The sequence below is a fragment of the Homo sapiens genome, chromosome 15 (assembly GCF_000001405.40).
Source record: "Homo sapiens chromosome 15, GRCh38.p14 Primary Assembly".
Classification (NCBI taxonomy): Eukaryota; Metazoa; Chordata; class Mammalia; order Primates; family Hominidae; genus Homo; species Homo sapiens.
In genome coordinates, this window is record NC_000015.10 from 35,532,619 (window position 1) to 35,552,801 (window position 20,183).

The window sequence follows — 20,183 nt, forward strand, 5'->3', positions numbered from 1 at the left end:
AACAAACAAGTTTTGAATTTGTTTAGTTTACCATGCCAGTGGAATATTAAGGTGGAAATATCATGAGCAACTGAATATACAGGTCCTTAACTATAAGCTCACTGCTTTAGCCCCAATGTCCAACTGTTTTTTAAAGAGGAGGAGGAAGGAAAAAAGGGAAGAAGGGAGGGAGGGAAGAGAGAAGAGATTAAAAAAGAAGAATTGGCTGGGCACGGTGGCTCACACTTGTAGTCTCAGCACTTTGGGAGGCTGAGGCAGGCAGATCACCTGAAGTCAGGAGTTTGAGAACAGCCTGGTCAACATGGCAAAACCCCGTCTCTACTAAAAAGACAAAAAAAATTAGCCAGGTGTGATTGCGGGCAACTGTAATCCCAGCTACTCAGGAGGCTGAAGCAGGAGAATTGCTTGAACCTAGGAGGCGGAGGTTGCAGTGAGCTGAGATCGTGCCATTGTGCTCCAGCCTGGGTGACAAGAGCGACACTCAGTCTCGAAAAAAAAAAAAGAATCATCTAGGATGGTTTCCAAGTTGAAACCCACACATTTTTAGAAAACATGTTACTCTTTGTCCCCACTGCCACAGTTCACCCTTCTACCAGCAACAGCCTGATTTATATTTGGAGATTCACCCTTCCTTTACTCCTAGTAAACATATTCCCAGTAGTCATGATTCCATCTCTTAGTTTAGGATGACACACAATCTAGGCCTACCAAATCAAAGTCATCTTCTCCCAACCACAACTGACTCATGAATATGTTACACGTCAGATCAATTAAGTTTCCCCTTTAAGCTATTAAAATGAAAACTGGAGCTTTTCCTACTGCATTTTAACCAAGAAGAATACAACTGGGAGCCATCCCCTAATTACAAGGTCCTGACTGAGGTCTTACCTCTACAGAAAGTAGAGGTAAGAGAGAAACAGAAAACAAAACAAAACAAAAAAATCTTGACTTTGATTATAAAATTTGGGTCCTATATCTAGTTATCTTGAATCTAGTTATCTTTAGATTGCTGTCAATAATAAAAAATAATTGTTGTTATTTTTATTATTAAATTTATTATTTATGTATTTAATATTTATTATTAAAATTTTAATCCCTCAATTATTACTGTCAATAATAATAAACAGAAGGAAAGAACCAATGAAAAAAGGATTTCAATTAATTTATTAAGTTAGAAAGCAGATAAAGAAGGAATCATGACTGATCAGTCAGCACAGACAGCCATAATCTACTGTTTGCATGGAAGAGAACAGAGCCAAGAAAGGAACCAAACTAGGCCACACTATCCTGAACTCCAGGAATAACAAGTGTGAGATGTGAGGTTGGGAAAATTCTAGAGTCAAAAGCATTCACAGTCAGCTTTCCTCTTGTATTATTCTTGGATATGAAAAGGCAACCAAAACATCAGAGAAAAGCCTATAACATGAAAGAGAAGAAAACTAAGAAAAAAAAACATCTCAAAGAAAACACCAATATTGGCCAGGAGCGGTGGCTCATGCCTGTAATCCCAACACTTAGGGAGGCCGAGGTGGACAGAGCACCTGAGGTCGGGAGTTTGAGACCAGCCTGACCAACATGGAGAAACCCCGTCTCAACTAAAAATACAAAATTAGCCGGGCATGGTGGTGCATGCCTGTAATCCCAGCTACTCAGGAGGCTGAGGCAGGAGAATTGCTTGAACCCTGGAGGCAGAGGTTGTGGTGAGCCAAGATTGTGCCATTGCTCTCCAGCCTGGGCAACAAGAGCGTAACTCTGTCTCAAAAAAAAAAAAAAAAAAGAAAAGAAAACACCAGTATTTCAGGAAACGAAAGACAATGTTTAAAATCTCTGTATTTTAAGAGGATATAGGGATGTTACATCTATAGAAAGAAAAATAAGTTGTTATTAAAAAACAATGGACAAACAAGAAAAGTTCTTGACTACTGAAAATATGATGGTTAAAATTTAGAAAAATTTAACAAGAAAGTAGGGAAATTTTAAAAGGAAATCTCACAGAACATACAACAAAAAGACACTGAGATAGAAAATACATTTAAAAATAAAGATACATGAAGATTCAGTCTAGAAGGTTTCATATGTGACTAGTGAGAGTGTCAGCAAAAGGGAACAGAGAAAATCAAAAGGAACAAATTATCAAACAACTAGTGGAAGAACCATCCTTACACTGCAATTCTATTGGCTTTGCAATATTTTGTGTATCAGATTTGACATCAAGTTTTCTCCCGTCAAAAGAATAAAAATGGCTATGGCAGTTTTAGGTCTCACATCCACACATCTCTCTGCACAGAAGGAGAAGAGCTTATCTTCTGCCAACTACCCAACATTCTAGGCTTCATTCTATTAGGACAAACATAGGTTAACAAAACCATCTCTGATCCAATCACTATGGCCAGAAGAATGCCATGTTCTGACTGGCTATCACCTGGATTACATGCCTATCCCCAAACCATCAATCAGAGAAAGAGGACAAGGGATGTGTCACTACTCAATAGGAATTTAGGGAAGCGATGCAGGAGAAACAACACTCAATACAGCATTACTGTGACATTTCAGTACACCAAGCATAAAGACACATCATAAAAGTTAACAGAGAACAAAAACAGGCCACCTAAAAAGGAACAACAATCACACCAGTATCAGCAAAAGGCTAGAGAACCATGGAACAATGCTGTCAATGATCTGAGGAAAAATGACTTTCAATTTAAAGTCCTAAATTCAACCAAATCAATAAAATATGAGAGCAGAATAGGAACATTTTCAAAATGGAAAGATTCCAAAGTCCCCTAAGGCAGTTTATTAAATATAGATTATACTGAAACTAAGGAATAAACCAAGAAAAAGGAAGACATCAGATCCAGAAAGTAGTTCCAACCCAGCAGAACAGAAAGAATATAATCCCTACATATATTTCCTATAGAGATATAGTGCTTATATGTATCTTTCTGTAACTATTACACTGCTCACGTGACTTAAAAAGAAAACAAACAATTGGAAATTACTGTATTTTCAGGAAATAATACAGTTATCCATTAAACTAAACTAGATAAGAACAGAAGTTACATTTTAACAGTAAAGAAATTCTAAAGAATAAAAGATTAGCCACATGAAAAATCTTTCGCAAACAGCTTGAGATACATACCTCTAGCTGTCAGAGTCACCTGCTAATTTATGAGACAAAGGCTTATTACATTTCTATTAGGTGTCATAATTTCTACAAAATAGTTATGAAACATAACTCTACAAGTTCCTCCAAGTCTTTCCTACTTCTTTTCAGAAATTAGTAAATTAAACTCTTTGCAAAAAGGAACATCTATTCAAAAATGAGTTTTAATATTTGTGGGGAAAATGTTACAAAAACAAGACTTATGTGTGAAAGTTGCAAAGCTGTAACCTGTTATAAATAAATGTTTATAGTGAAAATAAATCTAAATGCTTTCCATACTCCATTAATACTCAAAGGATTAAAAAATGCAGTTCTTTCTTTTTCTTAGAACAAGTAAAGACAAACTTGAAAAATTATAGCTTTTCTAGATTCATTTTTTTTCATAATTACTCAGTTATTCATTAGAATATGTAAGACCTCCACTGGAATCTTTGCACCAGTGTTTCATAAATGAATTTAACTATAAAAGCCTAGTTATACAATCACTTCCATAAAAGCAATATATTTCTGATATTTATGTCCTTAAAATATCCTATAGTAAAATTAATATTTCTACACAGGAAAAGAAGGAACTATTTAGTCCCAGACAACTTGATAACATATCTTTCAACTATAATTATCATGTACAAACTTCCAAAGCATAAGTTGTCAAGAATTTAACATTAGCATTAATTTATGTCATAACTGATGGTTAGCATAAAGATAATAATGGCAAAGCATCCATTTCTCCAAAGACAGCATGGATGGAAAAGAAAATTTCTTCTTAATTATTGCTAATCTGCCCATTTTTAATTAAATTTATTATTAATTGTAATTTATTATCTCTCTTTCTTGGAGGGCTGTTATTATCATGGAGTTCTTCCAAAGTGATCAAGTTTGTGATTTTTAAGCAACCCAATTACTTTAGTGTGAGTCTCATCATTTTATAATATTGGTTTATATAAAAACTTAATGCCCAAATTCTTTGTACCATGAGAAAGAAATTTTGAAAATGCAGGATTTACACTCAGTAGTTCACACTTCAAAGTGAAAACTGTCAAGATCATAATTGCACCCTTTTGGAGATATGACCACTAAAAGTAGGATTCTTTTAAGCCTTCTACCTTGTTTGATAATCAAAATGTTTATTAGCATGTATCTTCCCAGAGGGAAGAAAGCAGGTCCTTGTGATTTCCTTTCAAAAGTGTCTACTTCTTATGCTATCTATAACTAAGCAGAAAATTTTGGAACTACTCTAAGGGTTTTTCTTATCAGTTTCTTTTTAGAATAAAATAAAATGTTCTGACATACAAAATAAGAACTATTTTAGTCAAACAAATTTTAAAAGAATTTCAGTGCTTCATATATTTTTCAAATCAAAATCCTTAATTAACTTTTGATTTGTATGAAACTCAAAGTATGTCATTTAAGTAGCTACTTGAAACTAGAAAATTTTCATGACAGAAGTTCATGAGGTAACTTCTGAAAAAACTGAACTTCTCTGAAGAGTGAGAAAGTGAAATGCAATGTACCTTTGTAGAGGAAGGGACAGGAATCTTCTTTCCTTCCCCTTGTGAAAAATGGCAAGACATCAAGAAATACTGGCTTGAATTCCCTACTTCATCAAATCTGCCTTATATGAATCGATTGTAACGGACTGAATAAAAATTCATACTTAGAAGAATAACTGAACTGTATTCAAATAGTTGGCTATCAATAAAAATGAAAAGATAGTTGCTTAATATAAAATCATCCTTATTAATTACCATTTACTGAGTATAGTAACTATTAGATAAATGAGCCCAAATATACGCTCCTAGAAATTAATCAGTGCAAAATGGCTGCCAAACTCTTACATTCTGTGACTTATGCATTAAATTCATACCTGTTCCAACAGATTTAAGCAAGGCTCAGTCTCTCATTTTCTTTACATCTACTTGTTACCTTATCAGAAATGTCTTGCTTGACAACCATACGTAGCACCACCTCCACAGCTATGCCCTGCCATCATGTGCAATCTGATTCTGCTTCATTTTTCCTCATATTACTCTTCACTATCAAGCATGTTATTTATTGTTTATTGTCTGTCCTCTTCCACTAGAAAGTGAGCTCCATTAGAATAAGCCTTTAACGTATGCGTCCACCATTCTATCCCCAGTGTCTAGCACTATATGCCAGGCATATAGTAGGCATTCAAAAAATATTTGTTAATAAAGAGATTAAATGGCCATCAGCTCTAATCTTTCTTTTCCTTAGGAACAGAAAACTTATTTTAATATCATTTGATAATCCTGGATGCCAAACTATACAAAACGTCTTATTTTTAAATATCATTTAATATAAAGGCATACTAATCATTTGCAGTTTTTTTCTAACCAAAAAAAGACAAAATCCTTTTAAAGAATAGTTGGGCTACTAACAATTGCAAATTACGGATTACTAAATAATTCGGCAAATGTAATTTGTTAAATTACACACTAAATCCAATATACTTAATTGGTTACTCTGCATACCTTAACAAGTTTCAAAAGCTCATAGAGATCTTCAACCTCATCACCTTCACATTTGGTGTACACTTGTCTTGTATCCAAGCTCCTTCCTCTTATGGTTCGGCGATAGAGGGGAAGAGCCATTGCTTCTGCATACAAGTCAATGGCATGGTGCCCCACTGTCTGATACATGTAGCTATCCAGTTCATCAGACCCCACTGCAACAATTAAAATGGAAATAATTAGCAAAAGAGAGTGAAAAAGAAAGCGGATTTGAAAGCCCATCCAGGTTTTACTGCTTGAATAGTCGACACAGAACTTGAAAGCTTGCTATACTATGTTTCTCTGCATTTATGTAGTAAAATAAAAACATAAGAATTGCACATTTGTCTGTAGTTGCATCTAGTTCATATCACCCCTAATAATCTCTACTACTAATTACAAATACAAATGTATTAATACATAAATTTGTTGTACCATATATGGTAAACATTTAAAGAGAAGAGTAATGTATCCAATAAATTTTGATTAGTTTATTCAGTTAAATATTTTTATTACATAAATGTTTTTACAAATCATTCAAGGTTATTCATGAAGTCATCTAGACTTGTAGAAAAAAAAACCTTTCTTAATTAAAGATCTACCTAGTTAATAAGAGACAAATAGTGGTAAGAAAAATTTCAGATCATTTTGGTATATTTTATATTCAGATATTCAGGACCTTATAATAAAACATGTAGATAGATATATATTCAATATTGTTAGAGCATTAGAGCAGTTACAAATGTGCATAGAAATATGATATCTTAAGCTAATCAATAATATAATCAGTGGTTGTCACAAGATTCCACAAATATCAATATGGGTAAAATATACAAAACAGATGAGTCACATCAGAGCTCTGGGTGATATAAATGAACTTAGAAATATACTGGAATAGACCTTTAGATCTCGTAACCTTACTTTTTAGAAAAAGAATCATGAATATATACAAAGATTATTTGCAAAGATACTTATCACATTATTTATAATAGACTAGAAATTATAGTATATTCATATAATAAAGTACTATGCAGCCATTAATATAATGTTGAAGAACATTTTCTAAAGTATGTTCTGCGGAATACAAATCCCATAAGACATTAATAGGTATCGGATGATAAAAAGATTTAAGGTTAAAGAAGTCTATAAAAGATGGGGATAAAAAGTGTTAAATGGATGTCTGTGGTGTAAATCTTCCTAAGCTAATATGCTTTCAGGTACTCCAATAAGAGCAGAGAATATGAACTATCTCTCAAATTTATCTACCCACAGAACACGTAAATTTAATGGGGGTATTTGTGTTCTAAAGACATATGGGAAATGCTATCGTAGAATAATATTTAATGACATGGAAAATGTTCACAAAATGCTATTAAAAAAATTACAAAGTAGTTATTTTGACATATACCTATGTGTGTATGTATGAATATAAGCCAAACAGGTCCAGGCTTTCCATTAAATGTGAAAACTTCCTATCAAAAGGAATGAAAAGTGATAGTGCAAGGGCCCCTTCAACAATCAAAATCATCAAAATCTGCTACCCCATTTTGGCTGACAGGTTTCTGAACTCACACATTGTTAGATTGGCTTCCTTCAGAATATTACTCACATTGTTACTATAAATGTTTCCACTCCTGGTCCCAGTAGGAAGTAGAGAACATAGCCAAAGTTACCTAAAAACCTTTCGGCCTTCTCTCGTCTCAAAATTAGACTGGATCTTTAAATACATTCATTTTAAAGGATATTGATACAATCAAACCAATTTACTCAAAGAAATTTGGGCTTCTTGGCAAGAAACATTCTGATGTTAGCATAATAAGTAAAACATCTCACTGGCTTCAAAAACCTAGAAGATAATTTTCTTTAAGGCTCTATTTAGTCCTAACCACATTGTAACTTTGATTAATGGAAGCTACAGAGCAACAATAGTGTGAGATCAAATAAAACCAAAGGCTCCCCTGTTGCCTGAAGCAACTCAATTAACATGCCACAAAAGTTCCTACTACAAATCTAAAGAGATGGTTTTGTGAATTTTATGACAAGTTCGCATTATCCTCATTGATGGGAATAAATTCCTTTTCACACCACCCATTGAAAACCCGTAACTTTGCTGGACATTGGAGTCATCTCTACCAGTCATTCCTCACTAAGGTTTCTTTCATAACACTCATAGGAAAATAAGTCATTCAGTGAATTGTTCAATAATTCCCAATGTCCTGCTGATTTTCATCAAGATGAGCTAAACCATCTCCATCTACCAACCCACAGCCATCTGTTTTCTTCTACAACAATTACTATTGTTTCGACTGCCTTTTCCAGGCTTTTTACTTCAGAATATTCTAATTCTATTTACTATCAAATTTTTTCTCACTAACAATATTCTAAATAAGTGTCTCTATTCTACTGAGAGGTATAATTTAAAAATATACTTTGCTTGTCATTTTACCACCCTGCTGGTGAACCATGAACACAAGGAAGATTATATATTAATGGTTCTGTACTAGGTAAGTAAAATAATTCATGTGAAAGCTGAAAACAAGATAGAAACTCCAGTGATGAAATTATAATATACCATGTATGTATTATATACTATATAAACATCTGCTTTTTAACTTCACAAGATAGCTTGAAAGTCCCAGTTGCCTCCCCCTGGCCACAAGGGATAAGGGAGTTTCTCTCTTTTGGTAAACCTAACAGGAGATTCTGCTTCTTCTTTTATAATACAGAAGTTAGAGTGCAGTTCCTATTCATCCTCAAAGAATTTTCTCTTTCTTAAAGTTGGAACTCTTTCAAAAAACATCACTTCTAAAAAACCATCTGTTACTCATCAATTGCAGCACAAAATCCAAACATGTGCATTTACCTCTGACTCTCTGTGGGACCTTTCCATTTCTTCCTATAAAATATTTCTAAACTCTGTCTTTCCACACGACATCCAGCATTACTTACATCTTAATCACAGAAGGAAAGAAGATTCAAATATCTGACTGAAATAACTGCTCACTATTCCAGGGCTAATCCAAATTAGTTCATTATACACCTGTCCACCAATCAACCTTGCGTGAACTCCTACCAGAGGCATAGAGCCGGCCCAAGTGATGAGGAGCAATAAAAGGAAGATAGAAGATATGATCTCTCTTCTCAAGAAGCTTATAATCAATCCATTTAAAGATATAAAACAAGTATTTAGCTAGATTCCAATTCAGCTAAATTTACAGAATGCCTACTTCATGACAGGAACTACGACTGATGTTCTCACATACACCACTCATTTAATTAATCTTAAAATAACAGTGCAAAAACATGGAGCCTGGAAAGAAGTAAAAGAGAGAATAAAAAGATCTTACTAGAAAAGTCCTGTGAGAAGCAGTAATACAAAAGTCACAAAAGTGCTAATCTTTTTTCCCTCTTACATTTTAGCAGTTAATATCTGTAGTTTCATAGGTATAACACAATAGCATTAAAAAGCAAATTGGTGAATATATTTCTTTTTTCAAAAGCTATAATTGGGGATATTTCATTGGAGAAAAGAATGAAAAAAGTAGTCAATATGAGGTCTGTGAATTATATGTGGATGCCCTTGTTACTACAGACAAATGAAAAGTGGGAATGCATTGCTTTATGCTTCTCTCAAGTCTCACATTTCTGGCTTACATCTAAAATAGGTAAACTGTATCCTTTTAATAATAAAATTAATATATCATTTATCAATATGTGTCTTACTTCTCAAGCTCCTTGAGGCCTGAGACTGTATCTTATCTACCTCTATGCTGCCTACAGTACTTGGGAATGTGGTGGGGTAAAATGGTAGTGTACTTTGAAGTAAGAAGGTTCAAGTCTTAACTCTACAAGTTTGTGCTAGTTTACTTCAGACAAACTCTAAGCTTCAGGATCCCTGTCTATTAAGATTAATAGTGCATCTCTATAGAAGTTGGTTATGAGAATTAAAAAGTAAGTGAAAACACTTAATGCTAAGTTCTAGGTGGAAACTAGCATCTAATGGGTGCTTAATATTTATTGGTTCTTTTTTTTTCATCTTTGTACGGTATACCTGTACAATGTAATTATGAAGTTGGAATTTCATTCATTTAGGCAACTTCCCAATAAAGGCATGTACTTACCTTGGTTTTCAGCTGGTCTTAGATTTGCTAAAGCAACGATCTGATGCCCAGCAGCAATGCACTGCATCATATTATAGCAGCTGTCCTTCCCACCACTAAACAATAAATCAAGAGAGGGACAAATATCATGCTACTGACCATTATTCAACATAAAATCACTAGATATCAAAACAGAACATATCATTTACTTGACTCTTCAGAATATATTACAATGCAAAAAAAACCCATTAATTTCTAAATCATAAACAAACTGAGCAACCGAATCTGAATGTCTAGGGCTGCTACTCACAGGAGCTTAAGAAACTATATATATATAAGAATATTCTAAACAAAATATGGTAACTTTTTGCTTTGTGATAGCAAATATATTTGAAGTGATTTGCAAATAGAAAATGATTTCAATTTACATCCCAGCTAAACATTTATTATATAATTATATATGAAATATATATATTCTACCTAAGGAATATATATAATAATATATATTATTCCACTTAAGGAATATATATAATATATATTATTCCACTTAAGGAATATATATATATATATATATAAAATAATTTCATAGAAATTATTGGGAAAAAAAAAACTATTCTCTATGAGAAAGTAAAAAAAAAAACAAATTCTGCTCCACCATAAGAAATCTAACAAATGGCTACCATCAGCAATTAAAGGATCAAATTAAAGATTTGAGTACCTAGCTAATGACAAAGTTTGACACACTTGGTGGGTTCAAATTCTGCAGAGATAAAAAACAAGATGCTGACTTACACTGATGACGTGAAACATCAGCACTATCAGCACTTCAGCCATCTCTACACATACATATAGTACACACATACACATAATATATATATATATATATATATATATATATATATATATATATATGATGGCAGCAGAACTAGGCTTGAGCTATAAATGTAGTAACACATTGAAAGGAACTTCTAAATTCTGGTTCTAAATCTACCTAAGGCAGACGCATATCACTTAGTAAAGACAAGCAGTAGCTCATCTATAATATGGCTGAATGGCAATCTATATGCTATTGTAATTTAATATTCTCCTAATTCCCACTATCATTTATCATTGCCTCTCTCCCTTTTACATTTCTTTTTCCTCCTGTTTCCCTTCTTTCCAATATTTGCTTAAGGCCTGCAAATCCCCAGGCAATGTTTAGACCTCTTCATAGCTCAAGAAACTGAGCACCTCAGAAACTGGCCTTGTTGCCTTTTATCTTAGTTTTCAACATTTCTGCCTCTTCCACCCTCCCATCAATAACAACTCTCATTCCAAAACTTCTCAAGTGGAAGGAGAGCACAAGGGCCAAAGTGAAGTTTTAAAAAGTCCATTCTTCCTCTCTTCAGGTTCGGTATCCCCATAAGTAGGTCTTCCACAACTTCCCATATCGAACCTTACTGCTCTGATTCCCCAGGATAAAAAGATATGACTAATTGTTTCAGATATTAAAGACTGAAGGGTGTGCATCCAGAATCAGAACTGAGTCTGACAATTTATTTTGAAATATGCCAACATTTCAAATATGGTTTTAAGCAGTATTTACCAAACTGTGTTCTGTGGAACACTGGTGTCCAACAAAATACTAACCAATTACTCTAACAAAAGGTTTTGAATATCAGACAAGCTTGGGAAATGCAGAGTACCTTACTGTCCTCTTAGAACTCCATTAAGTACACATGTATGTTAGGTGAGAGGTCTCACAGCTCTATTTTAGTTTCCAACTCTGGGATACTAAGCTAAGTTATTCAATGTGCTTAGGTTTGCATACTTCATTGCAAATTAATGAATGGTCTGCCTGGATAATCCTCAAAATAACATTCAACTATAAAATTCAAAGACTCATTTATTTATTAGAAAAATAATGTTCTATGAGAGCATATGGACACAGGGAGGGGCACATCACACACTGGGGCCTGTGGGGGTTTGGGGGTTAGGGGAGGGATAACATTAGGAGAAATACCTAATGTAGGTGATGGGTTGATGGGTGCAGCAAACCACCGTGGCACATGTATACCTATGTAAAAAAACTGCACGTTCTGCACATGTAACCCAGAACTTAAAGTATAATAAAAAAAAAATTTAAAAAAGGAAAATAATCTTCTTAGAAAGATATGTAAGAATCCCAGTTTCACTTATTCACTTATAATACATAATTATATATAATGCATATATATAGAATACATAGGCATCTGTATCATAAGCATACAGGTAAATGCTTACGTATTCATACTTACAGCATATGTCCTTACAGCTCTTACGCTTCAGCAAGAATTTTCCAACATTGCTTTTTTAGCAAACTTTTTTTATTATAAAGCAACATATGCACATTACAGGTTATTTAGTGTAACTGACTCTACCAATCTTCTCTCCTCCCCTCCAATACTTCTAAGTCTTTGTTTGTTGTGCTTTACTTTAATCGTTAAACTTTTGGCAAGCGATGTAAATTTGAATTATTCACTTCCTGGGGTACTTTTAATTCTTAAAATAAGACACAATGGTTAAAGCTTAATCATTTATGTTACAGAGGACATTTACTGAACAACAATAATTATTGTGACATTATGGTCTAGTCTCCTAAAAATGACATTGAAGGAAAGGGAACCGGAATATTCCAGACACTACAGTAGGTCTGAAATCTCATATCAAGTCCTTAATAGGTCAAAACTTACAGCCAGTATCAATTACCTAAGGGACTTAACGAAAACGTTTATGAAATCTTCAATTGGATTACAAAAGCAAGCACATCGTTGCACTGTATCTAAGACACTCTACAGGGCAAAATCTCATGAAACAAGTATTTAAGTAGTCTAACTTTTTAATGTTGCTAGTGTGTTCCCTTCTGCCTCAGTTTATAGATTGAGTATGGAAATATTTAAGCAGGTTTGTTTTTGGTTTGTCAGTCACAGGACTTATTTAGACACTTAAATTTATGATTTGGTTACTACAGACATCAAACTCCTTTTGGAATACGGAGTATAGGGTAAGGTCACTCTAAAGCAATGATGAGAGTCCGAAGCAACAGCAACTGGATCTAGCATAAGACTAGTACAATTCGGTCTCTACCACGAAGAGAGATCTCTGTACTTGAGTGCCCAAAGGCAGAAACACACACATGCCATAAGCAATCCACATCTGTGAAGATGAGGGAGGGGTGGACTTCTTGGGATGGGCGGAAACACTTACAACTAGGGAGGAAGCCAGGCTGCGGCGGACCCAGCTGACCAAAGGAACTACAGAAGAGGACGAAGAAAGCGAGGGGGAAAGGGCGAGGGTTATTAACTGAGTTGATGGAATAAGGTAGTGGCTCCAAACTTCACGGCTCATTAGAGCTTGAAAAAAAAAAATCAGACGCCGGGTCGCACAGAAGTAATTAAACCAATCCCTCTGGCGGTGGGGCCCAGGCGTCGGTACTTTTTTTAATTTCCCACTTGAATCCAATGGGAATCCAAGTTTAAGGGCTAGAAGACCAGAGAGCGACAGACAGGGAGGAGGCGCGCCAGCCAGGGGCCGAGGCACATGCGGGCCGGCAACAGCGAAGGCTCCGCCTCTTCCTGTGGCTCGGAGGAGCCGCGGAACCCCCAACGCGCGACTCAGACGGAGACACCCACTCTTTCGGCGCTAGCGGCGGCTGGAAGGGACGAGAGCCTGGCCTAGGAGGAAGGAGGCGGCTCCAGGACCGCATTACCTGATCAGAGCCGCGACCCTCATGCTGGGCGCAGTGCGCGTGCGTGCGGCGAGCGCGGGCGGGAGCCAGGAGGTCGCGCCGCAGCTCGCGTGACGCACCGCGGGGCCTCGCCCGGGTGTTCGCTCCGCCGCCTGTCCGCGGATCGGCGCTGCGAGCCCCGCGGCTGCCTGCGGGACACCTGAGCGCGGAGGGTGCGGCACCTTGGCACCTTGACCCTGTGGCAGGGACATCTCGGCCCAGGAAAGAATGAGGTTTAGGCACGGCCTAACCACCTAAGTGAGGGCACTGAAGCTGCCGGGGGAAGGGCAAGGTCCGCGTTGCAGAGCCCAAGCCCAGTGGCGCAGGATTTGTTTTGGTAAGAGGGGATTTAGCGTCCCAATTGCTGCAAATTGACACAGTTGCGGACGTGCAAGCGCAGAAGAAATTTGTCCTTCCTCACCCCACAGAACAGAAACAACTGTACACTTCTGCTTTTTAACTTACATCTCCTCTGTCCTCCAAACCTGTGTGTCCAGATGTGAAACTCAGATCCCCAGGGGCTGTGGTAATTTTTAAATCTGGGGCTAGCCCCCCCCACCTCTAGGCCCTCTGTGGCTTTGGCTCTTGGTCAAGCTTGTGTATTTGACAAGGCCAGGCCAGGCTCTTCACCAAAGAGCAATGGCCTTGCAGAAAGAAAATCTAGCTTCTAAGTTTATTTGCCAAGTATGTATTGAGTGCCTTTCGTGTACCAGGCACTGTTTTAGACTCTGTGGATACAACCGTAAATAAAACAAAAACCCGGCATTCCGGGCATAGAGCTTAAATGGGGATGGAGAGAACAGACAATACATATCTTAAAGGTAAATAGTCTGTTGAAGAGTGAAAAGTGCTATTGGAAAGGGGCGGGGTGCGGTGGGGGAGAGTCAGGAGAGAGGTGGAGAGGCAAATTGCAGAATTAAATCGTGTCTATGTAGGCCTTATTGGTAAGATGAGAGTTGAGCCAATTTAAATAAGGAGAGTTCGCTATGTGTATGATTGGGGTGTGCTCCAGACAAGAAAAAAAAATCGAAGGCTCTAGGTGCGTTGTGTGTTTGTGGAAGATTAAGGCAGATCCGTGTTGCTGGAGCAGATTGAGCAAAGCAGAGAGTAGTGGAGAGCAGGTTAAGGTGATGGAGGGGAAGGATTATATAGGGTCTTGTAGGTAATTGCAGACTTTTGAAGGGTGTGACTTAAAATTTTAAAAGGATTGCAGTGTTGAGAATCCACCTATTAGGAAGCTGTTACAGTGTTCCAGTAGAGAGATGGCGGAGCCTAGAATCAACATGGTGAATTTGGTGAGAAGTAAGAGGATTCCAGCTCTATTTTGAAGATAGAGCCAATAGAATCAAATTCGATATGGGATACAAGAGAAAGAAAGTCATGAGGGATGATGCCAAAGGCATGAATTAAGTAAGTTAATATATGTAGGGAACTTAAAATTATGCCAGGTACATAGTAAGCATTCAATTTTATTTTGACATTCTCAACTCTAATAGTAGGGGTGACTAGAGCAGTGACAGTCTACATATCAGTTTTAGCGTCTAGAATCATACAGCTTTAAGATTTTGCAGTTATGAATATTTACCAAATGAGTCAAGTATTTAAGAAGTTTGCAGTCTAATTGGAGGAGATAAATACGTGAAACACACTTAAAATGATACAGCTCCAATGAGTGGAAGAAGCACCAGGGCTCTCGTCTCATGCCGAATTGGGTAAAATGACACAGACACACATGGAGTGGTTTTAAGGGGTGGAGAATTTAATAGGCAAGAAAGAAGGGTGAAGAAAGGAAGAAGCTCCCCTGTAGAGACACATGGAAGTGGGCTCCAAAGCCTAGAGAGGAAACCCCCAGTGCTGGGGTTAACAGGCAGTTATATGAGGAGACTGGAAGAGGCGGTGTCAGATTTGCATAGGGCTCAGGGGATTGGTTTGACCAGGCATGTCATTCACATAGCCCACGAAAAACCTGGCTCTCCCACCCTAGCCTTTTAATATGCAAATGCAGGTCGCCTTGATGTTCTACACGTGTGGCGATATGTGGGGATGGCCATGTTGCCAGACACATACAGGGGCAAGGGCAAGAGGACAGCGGTGGCTATCGCCATGTTTGTGTGGACCCAGTTTCTAATGGCCTGCATTTGCATATCAAAGGTCGCCAGCCGGGCTCTAAGAGCAGGGGCTTTCCTGCTAGACAAGAAACATTTCTGGAGCTGCTTTAAAAGAGACAAAAACTTTCCAAGGACCCCTTTTCCTATCTGCCTAAAATTATTTTTTTAATAAATCCTATAACAGTAATCCAAGATAACACATTTTGAAAGTAACAAGTTATGTAATGTGTATGGCAAGAGTCCCATGAGTCAAACTCACAGGGTAATGGCTGGAATGAGGATGGGACTTGAAAGATGAGTAGAATTGAACAGGAATGGGCGGAACTTCCAAACAAAGCAAGGCAAGAATGAGCGTGGTGTGTTGAACAACAGGGGGTAGACTAGCTTGACTAATTTGGAAGGTATATGGGAAAGAAGAAAAAATAAGTTGAATAAATAGGATGAGGCCAGTTTATCCAGGGTCATGGAAAACCAAAATGAGGAATTTCAAAATAAGGCAGGTTACTGTGGCTACTTGACATCATTTTTCAGGAGATTGTGTGAAATAGCAGTAATGAACATGATGAATGATTTTGATAAAATAGGCACTCCCAAAGATGCCAATGGATTATCTTTTCCACCAAGGGATATCTTTTCCTTGCCACTTCCCAGGAGGGATAAAGAGAGAAGATTCTAAGGCTACCTTCCTAAAACTACATCTTTAGGATTATTTTTTTGTTTCTCTTTGCGCTCTGTAGGCTTCATTTTAAGACATCCTCAACAAACAGGTTTATTACAGTGTGTATATCCTGGCATTAAACTGTATGTTAGGAAATATGTTGAGGCCGTTCTCCAAGGTCACCCAGTTTTTAGCTTGATGGTGTTGCTTTCCCCACTCGATTCTTTCTAGCACCTGTGGTATCTCTCCTCCAGGTCCTTTTGACCCCTTGAACAAAATTTCTCTCAGCACCTATTCCCTCCTTTTAAAACTTTCTACCAGAATTATTTAAATTAATGAATGTTTCTGGTTGCCTAATGTAACACTGCAACGTGTATTTTCTTAAAAATTTTTATATTTCCTCACATTAGTGCCTTTCTCTCAGCATTACCACACAAGGCTCTGTGCTTGAATGTCCTATCAAGGCCACCATAAAAATGGTAGGTTCAATTCATTTTGGTTCAATAGACATATTGGTATTTCCGAAATTAATATATGTCAGATTGGTCTTGACCCAGCCATCAAAGTTATTCTTAGAGTCATACATATTTTTGAAGTTCTTTTTTTTTATAGCTAACTGAACAAAACCAGATTAATTATTGACCCCTGAAAAACTTGTTAAAAACTAGAGATTAGGCCATGCTCTAACTTTTCCCATTGAGAATCTTTCTTAATTCATTGTAGTCACCTTTGTGGGTGTCATTTTCTTTTGCCGAAATTTAAAAGCAACACCCAGTTTGTCAATTACAGGTTTCTGAGAAGCAGATGCCAAGACGGGATTACATGTGCAGGAGATAAGAGAAAATGCCTGTGAAGGACAAAGGGAGACCAGCAAGAGAAGGCAGGGAGACTCCGATTGGAATGCAGGGGAGTCGAAATCTGAAAAAGCAGAATGGGAAGGAAGAATAGGTTGAAAGAACCTGTTTGTAATGTCATTCTGAGAGACTCAGCCAGGTCAATGGGGAGTCCTAAGCCAAAGTTGTTCATTAGAGGAATTCCAAATTGGTCAGGATCTGCTGTGCTCAGTAACTGTCTGAGAGCAGTGCAGGAAAAACTTAGTCCGGTGCAAACTCAGTGGTGAATCCAAAAGTGCAGTAGGCGGAGACTGTAAATCAATTCATAATAACATTCATGGTGTCGCTTCATGATTTCTGTAAACCTCTCTAAAAACTTAGGAAAGGGAAGTTAATAGGACAAACTATCATCACAGGTGGTCTGGGACCACACTAGTACTTACCCTGTCCTACACTATCCACTCTATATTCCCATCACTCTCAGCTCTCACTTCAGCAGATCTTGTTGACTTACTTGGTGGCATGACCTAAACATTCACTCCTAAGTGGTCTTGGGCTTTTGTCATCATACTCTTCTCAGTCCGTGACTGCAGTTTGTGTCCATTCACAGTTAGAACTAGGTAAGGGCATACCAAGAGGCACCCAAGTGGATCATCTGAGTTTCACATGTGTATTTCTCCCTGTCCCCAAGGTGTAAAGGTGGCCCCACCTCCTCATACTAATCAATTATCCTTGCTTGCTGGCCCCTGGCTGCAAAGAGCCAAAAGTGTCGTGCTATACATAGCTTATAGTTCAATGGATTCCCGCTCTACCCCTTTGCAAGAGAGAAAACCTGTAATTCTACTCAACCCAGAGTTGGGGAAAGTGAAGCACAGAGTTCTCCAGTGGGTTATTAGGAGTGATTTTAAATAAAGCCATTTGTGATTTCACCTTTTGGTTCCTAGATCCATGTATTTGCCGTACTAGAGACACAGTGCCATGTAGAAATCTCTGATTAGTGCCTATACTAAATACTGAGAGATGTCATGCCATCCTTGCAGATTATTGTCTCTGAGCTGCTGATTTCGCTGTGACTTAAGTAGGCTTTTCCAGTACTCTATGAGGCCAACTTCACCTAAATAGTGCAGTATATGATAAAACAATTAGACCTCATGGACATGGCCTATTCCTGTACCTCCTTTTCTATAAAGTAAGTTTTCTTGTGGATGCTCTGCTAGGTGGGATTCTGTGACTAGAGAGGCATTCTGCTAGTGGTGCCAGCTAAATCTTTGCAGACAGGAAAGGCCAGGTTCTAGTACCTGCTCAATCAAAGCCTGGAAGCAGCCAGGGGAAGCGTGGCTTATCACGAACTCCACAGTGGATCCAAAGGTGTGGCAGCTGAAGGCTGTCAGTCAGCTGCGCTCTCCACAGCAGGTGCTTTTGAGGAGAGATCTGAGTGGAACACTTGTAAGGCTGCCAGAGCAAGACAGTGACTCTCACAAAATCATATGAGGAGCGGGAACATTTGCAGCGCCCTGCTGGAGTAAGAAATGTAGAATAAAGAGTTATTCAAACTTAGAATAGTACTTGAAGGAGAACCTACCTAAATTTGTGAAAGTCTAAATTATAAACAATACTGTTTTTAAGGAAATGCCTTAATTTACTTCCAAACAAATATTCTAATCTTGAGCATACTAACATACTGATATTGAATCCTGGCTAAGGGTTTTACTATAAGTTAATAGAGGAAACATTTTTAACTAGTAGTATTTATTTGCCTACATGTAATTTGCTCAAATTTTAAGGACAGTTCATTTACCAAGACCCCTACATTCATAATTTTCCACATGGATAGTGTAAAGGCAACTTCAGCCCAGTAAATGTCAATAAATTAAAAGACTTTTTTCTTTTGATTAGTGCAGTCTAAAGTAATTCTTTTTGCAATATATTAAAATGACTTGCTCAAGATTCACTTTTCAAAGGCATTGTGAGCTTACTTCCTACAGTCTGAGACTGTTACATATGAGTAACTATGGATTAGCTTGTAGGGCCAGCAAAATAGGTGAACAGAAAATCAGCCTCAAAAAACCTCCATCCTTTGCCAATTTACTTAAGGAAAACTCTCCATAGCCAAACACTGTTGCTGGTAATAAAAGCTGCAAGCTGTCACTGAATTCTGCTTTCTTGGCAGCACATCTCGATATACTGATTGATAAAGACTCAGATAATCAAATCAAGAATGCTACAGGTGGTTACTCCTCAGAAACCTTGAAAGGATTTAAATTCATTCTGCTTAAAGTCATGCCATACAGGAAGCCATCAGAAGTTGCCTGGTAAGGATTTAAGAAAAAAGGAATTAAGTGGTTATTTGGGTCATAAATTTTAGGGCATCAGGTTATGAGTATCTGATGTATTTATATTAATAATTACAGCTTACCATGGGCCAGTCACTCTTTTAAATGCCACAGCAAATTTATGAAGTAGGATATATTATTATCCTCATTTGCACATGAGGAAACTGTGCACAAAGACGTTAAATGGACTGCCAAAAATCCTAAAGCTAGTAAGTGCCAGTACCAGTATTCAAACCTAGGCAGTCTAGCTCTTAACCGCTATACTATATCTTCCATTGAAATGGACAGCTGGTTATTTTGACTAAATATCCTAAGATATGTTTGGAAGGGAATTACCATCACTGACCTCTTAAATCTCCTTTTTCTGTACTTCCAAGCTGATCAACTCTTTTTTTGTGAAAGACTCAAATTGTTGTGTTGTATTACATGAATCGATATATGGGATAATTGCTAAACATTATAGACCTGAGAGTCATTCTATCTCTTTTAGAAATCTTTTTCTTTATTCCATAATGGATAATGACAAATTCAAAAGCTTTAGGAAGTAGGCAGATAACATAAGTGAGGGAGATGGCTTGGTATAAGACAATTTGAAATGGCGAGAACTGTGGCAAACCACTACTCACTCGTCACTTGGCTCCAGCTGCTCTGTGCAAATGTGGATCCAATGTTATCAGATATTTTAAGGCCAGGAATGGTGGCTTATGCCTATAATCCCAGCACTTTGGGAGGC

The 20,183-nt window shown here is 37.3% G+C and overlaps 1 protein-coding gene and 1 long non-coding RNA gene across 13 annotated transcripts in view, besides 6 other annotated features; one reads left to right on the forward strand and one right to left on the reverse strand.

Moving 5' to 3' along the window:
• Positions 1–13,547, reverse strand: part of DPH6 (diphthamine biosynthesis 6) — a 401,189-nt gene extending 387,642 nt beyond the window's left edge. For all 12 annotated transcript variants that reach the window (XR_001751412.3, XR_007064493.1, XR_001751413.3 and 9 more), the window contains exons 1-3: positions 13,501–13,547; positions 9,795–9,889; positions 5,656–5,849 (exon numbers count right to left, since the gene is read on the reverse strand). Coding sequence is in view for 8 of the 12 variants with exons in the window: in XM_047433263.1 (XP_047289219.1) it covers positions 5,656–5,849; positions 9,795–9,889; positions 13,501–13,523 (312 nt within the window). In the remaining 4 variants the exon portion in view is untranslated. The remainder of the gene's footprint in view (positions 1–5,655; positions 5,850–9,794; positions 9,890–13,500) is intronic.
• Positions 12,548–13,482: an enhancer, noted in NCBI's record as "NANOG-H3K27ac-H3K4me1 hESC enhancer chr15:35837367-35838301 (GRCh37/hg19 assembly coordinates)". NCBI's record gives its function as "activates a minimal SCP1, AML or CMV promoter by ChIP-STARR-seq in naive H9 embryonic stem cells {active_cell/tissue: H9 hESC(naive)}" and the evidence as "EXISTENCE:reporter gene assay evidence [ECO:0000049][PMID:30033119]".
• Positions 13,530–13,669: a silencer, noted in NCBI's record as "silent region_6292". NCBI's record gives its function as "represses an Ori minimal core promoter by ATAC-STARR-seq in GM12878 lymphoblastoid cells {active_cell/tissue: GM12878}" and the evidence as "EXISTENCE:reporter gene assay evidence [ECO:0000049][PMID:35858748]".
• DPH6-DT (DPH6 divergent transcript) overlaps positions 13,577–20,183 on the forward strand; it is a 312,807-nt gene continuing 306,200 nt past the window's right edge. The window contains exon 1 of the long non-coding RNA NR_038251.1: positions 13,577–13,855. This is a non-coding gene — a long non-coding RNA (DPH6 divergent transcript). The remainder of the gene's footprint in view (positions 13,856–20,183) is intronic.
• Positions 13,970–14,019: a silencer, noted in NCBI's record as "silent region_6293". NCBI's record gives its function as "represses an Ori minimal core promoter by ATAC-STARR-seq in GM12878 lymphoblastoid cells {active_cell/tissue: GM12878}" and the evidence as "EXISTENCE:reporter gene assay evidence [ECO:0000049][PMID:35858748]".
• Positions 15,470–15,764: an enhancer, noted in NCBI's record as "tiled region #8232; HepG2 Activating non-DNase unmatched - State 24:Quies, and K562 Activating non-DNase unmatched - State 1:Tss". NCBI's record gives its function as "activates a minimal TATA promoter and a strong SV40 promoter by Sharpr-MPRA in HepG2 and K562 cells {active_cell/tissue: HepG2 | K562}" and the evidence as "EXISTENCE:reporter gene assay evidence [ECO:0000049][PMID:27701403]".
• Positions 15,470–16,289: a biological region, named in NCBI's record as "Sharpr-MPRA regulatory region 8232".
• Positions 15,533–16,289: an enhancer, noted in NCBI's record as "OCT4-NANOG-H3K27ac hESC enhancer chr15:35840352-35841108 (GRCh37/hg19 assembly coordinates)". NCBI's record gives its function as "activates a minimal SCP1, AML or CMV promoter by ChIP-STARR-seq in naive and primed H9 embryonic stem cells {active_cell/tissue: H9 hESC(naive and primed)}" and the evidence as "EXISTENCE:reporter gene assay evidence [ECO:0000049][PMID:30033119]".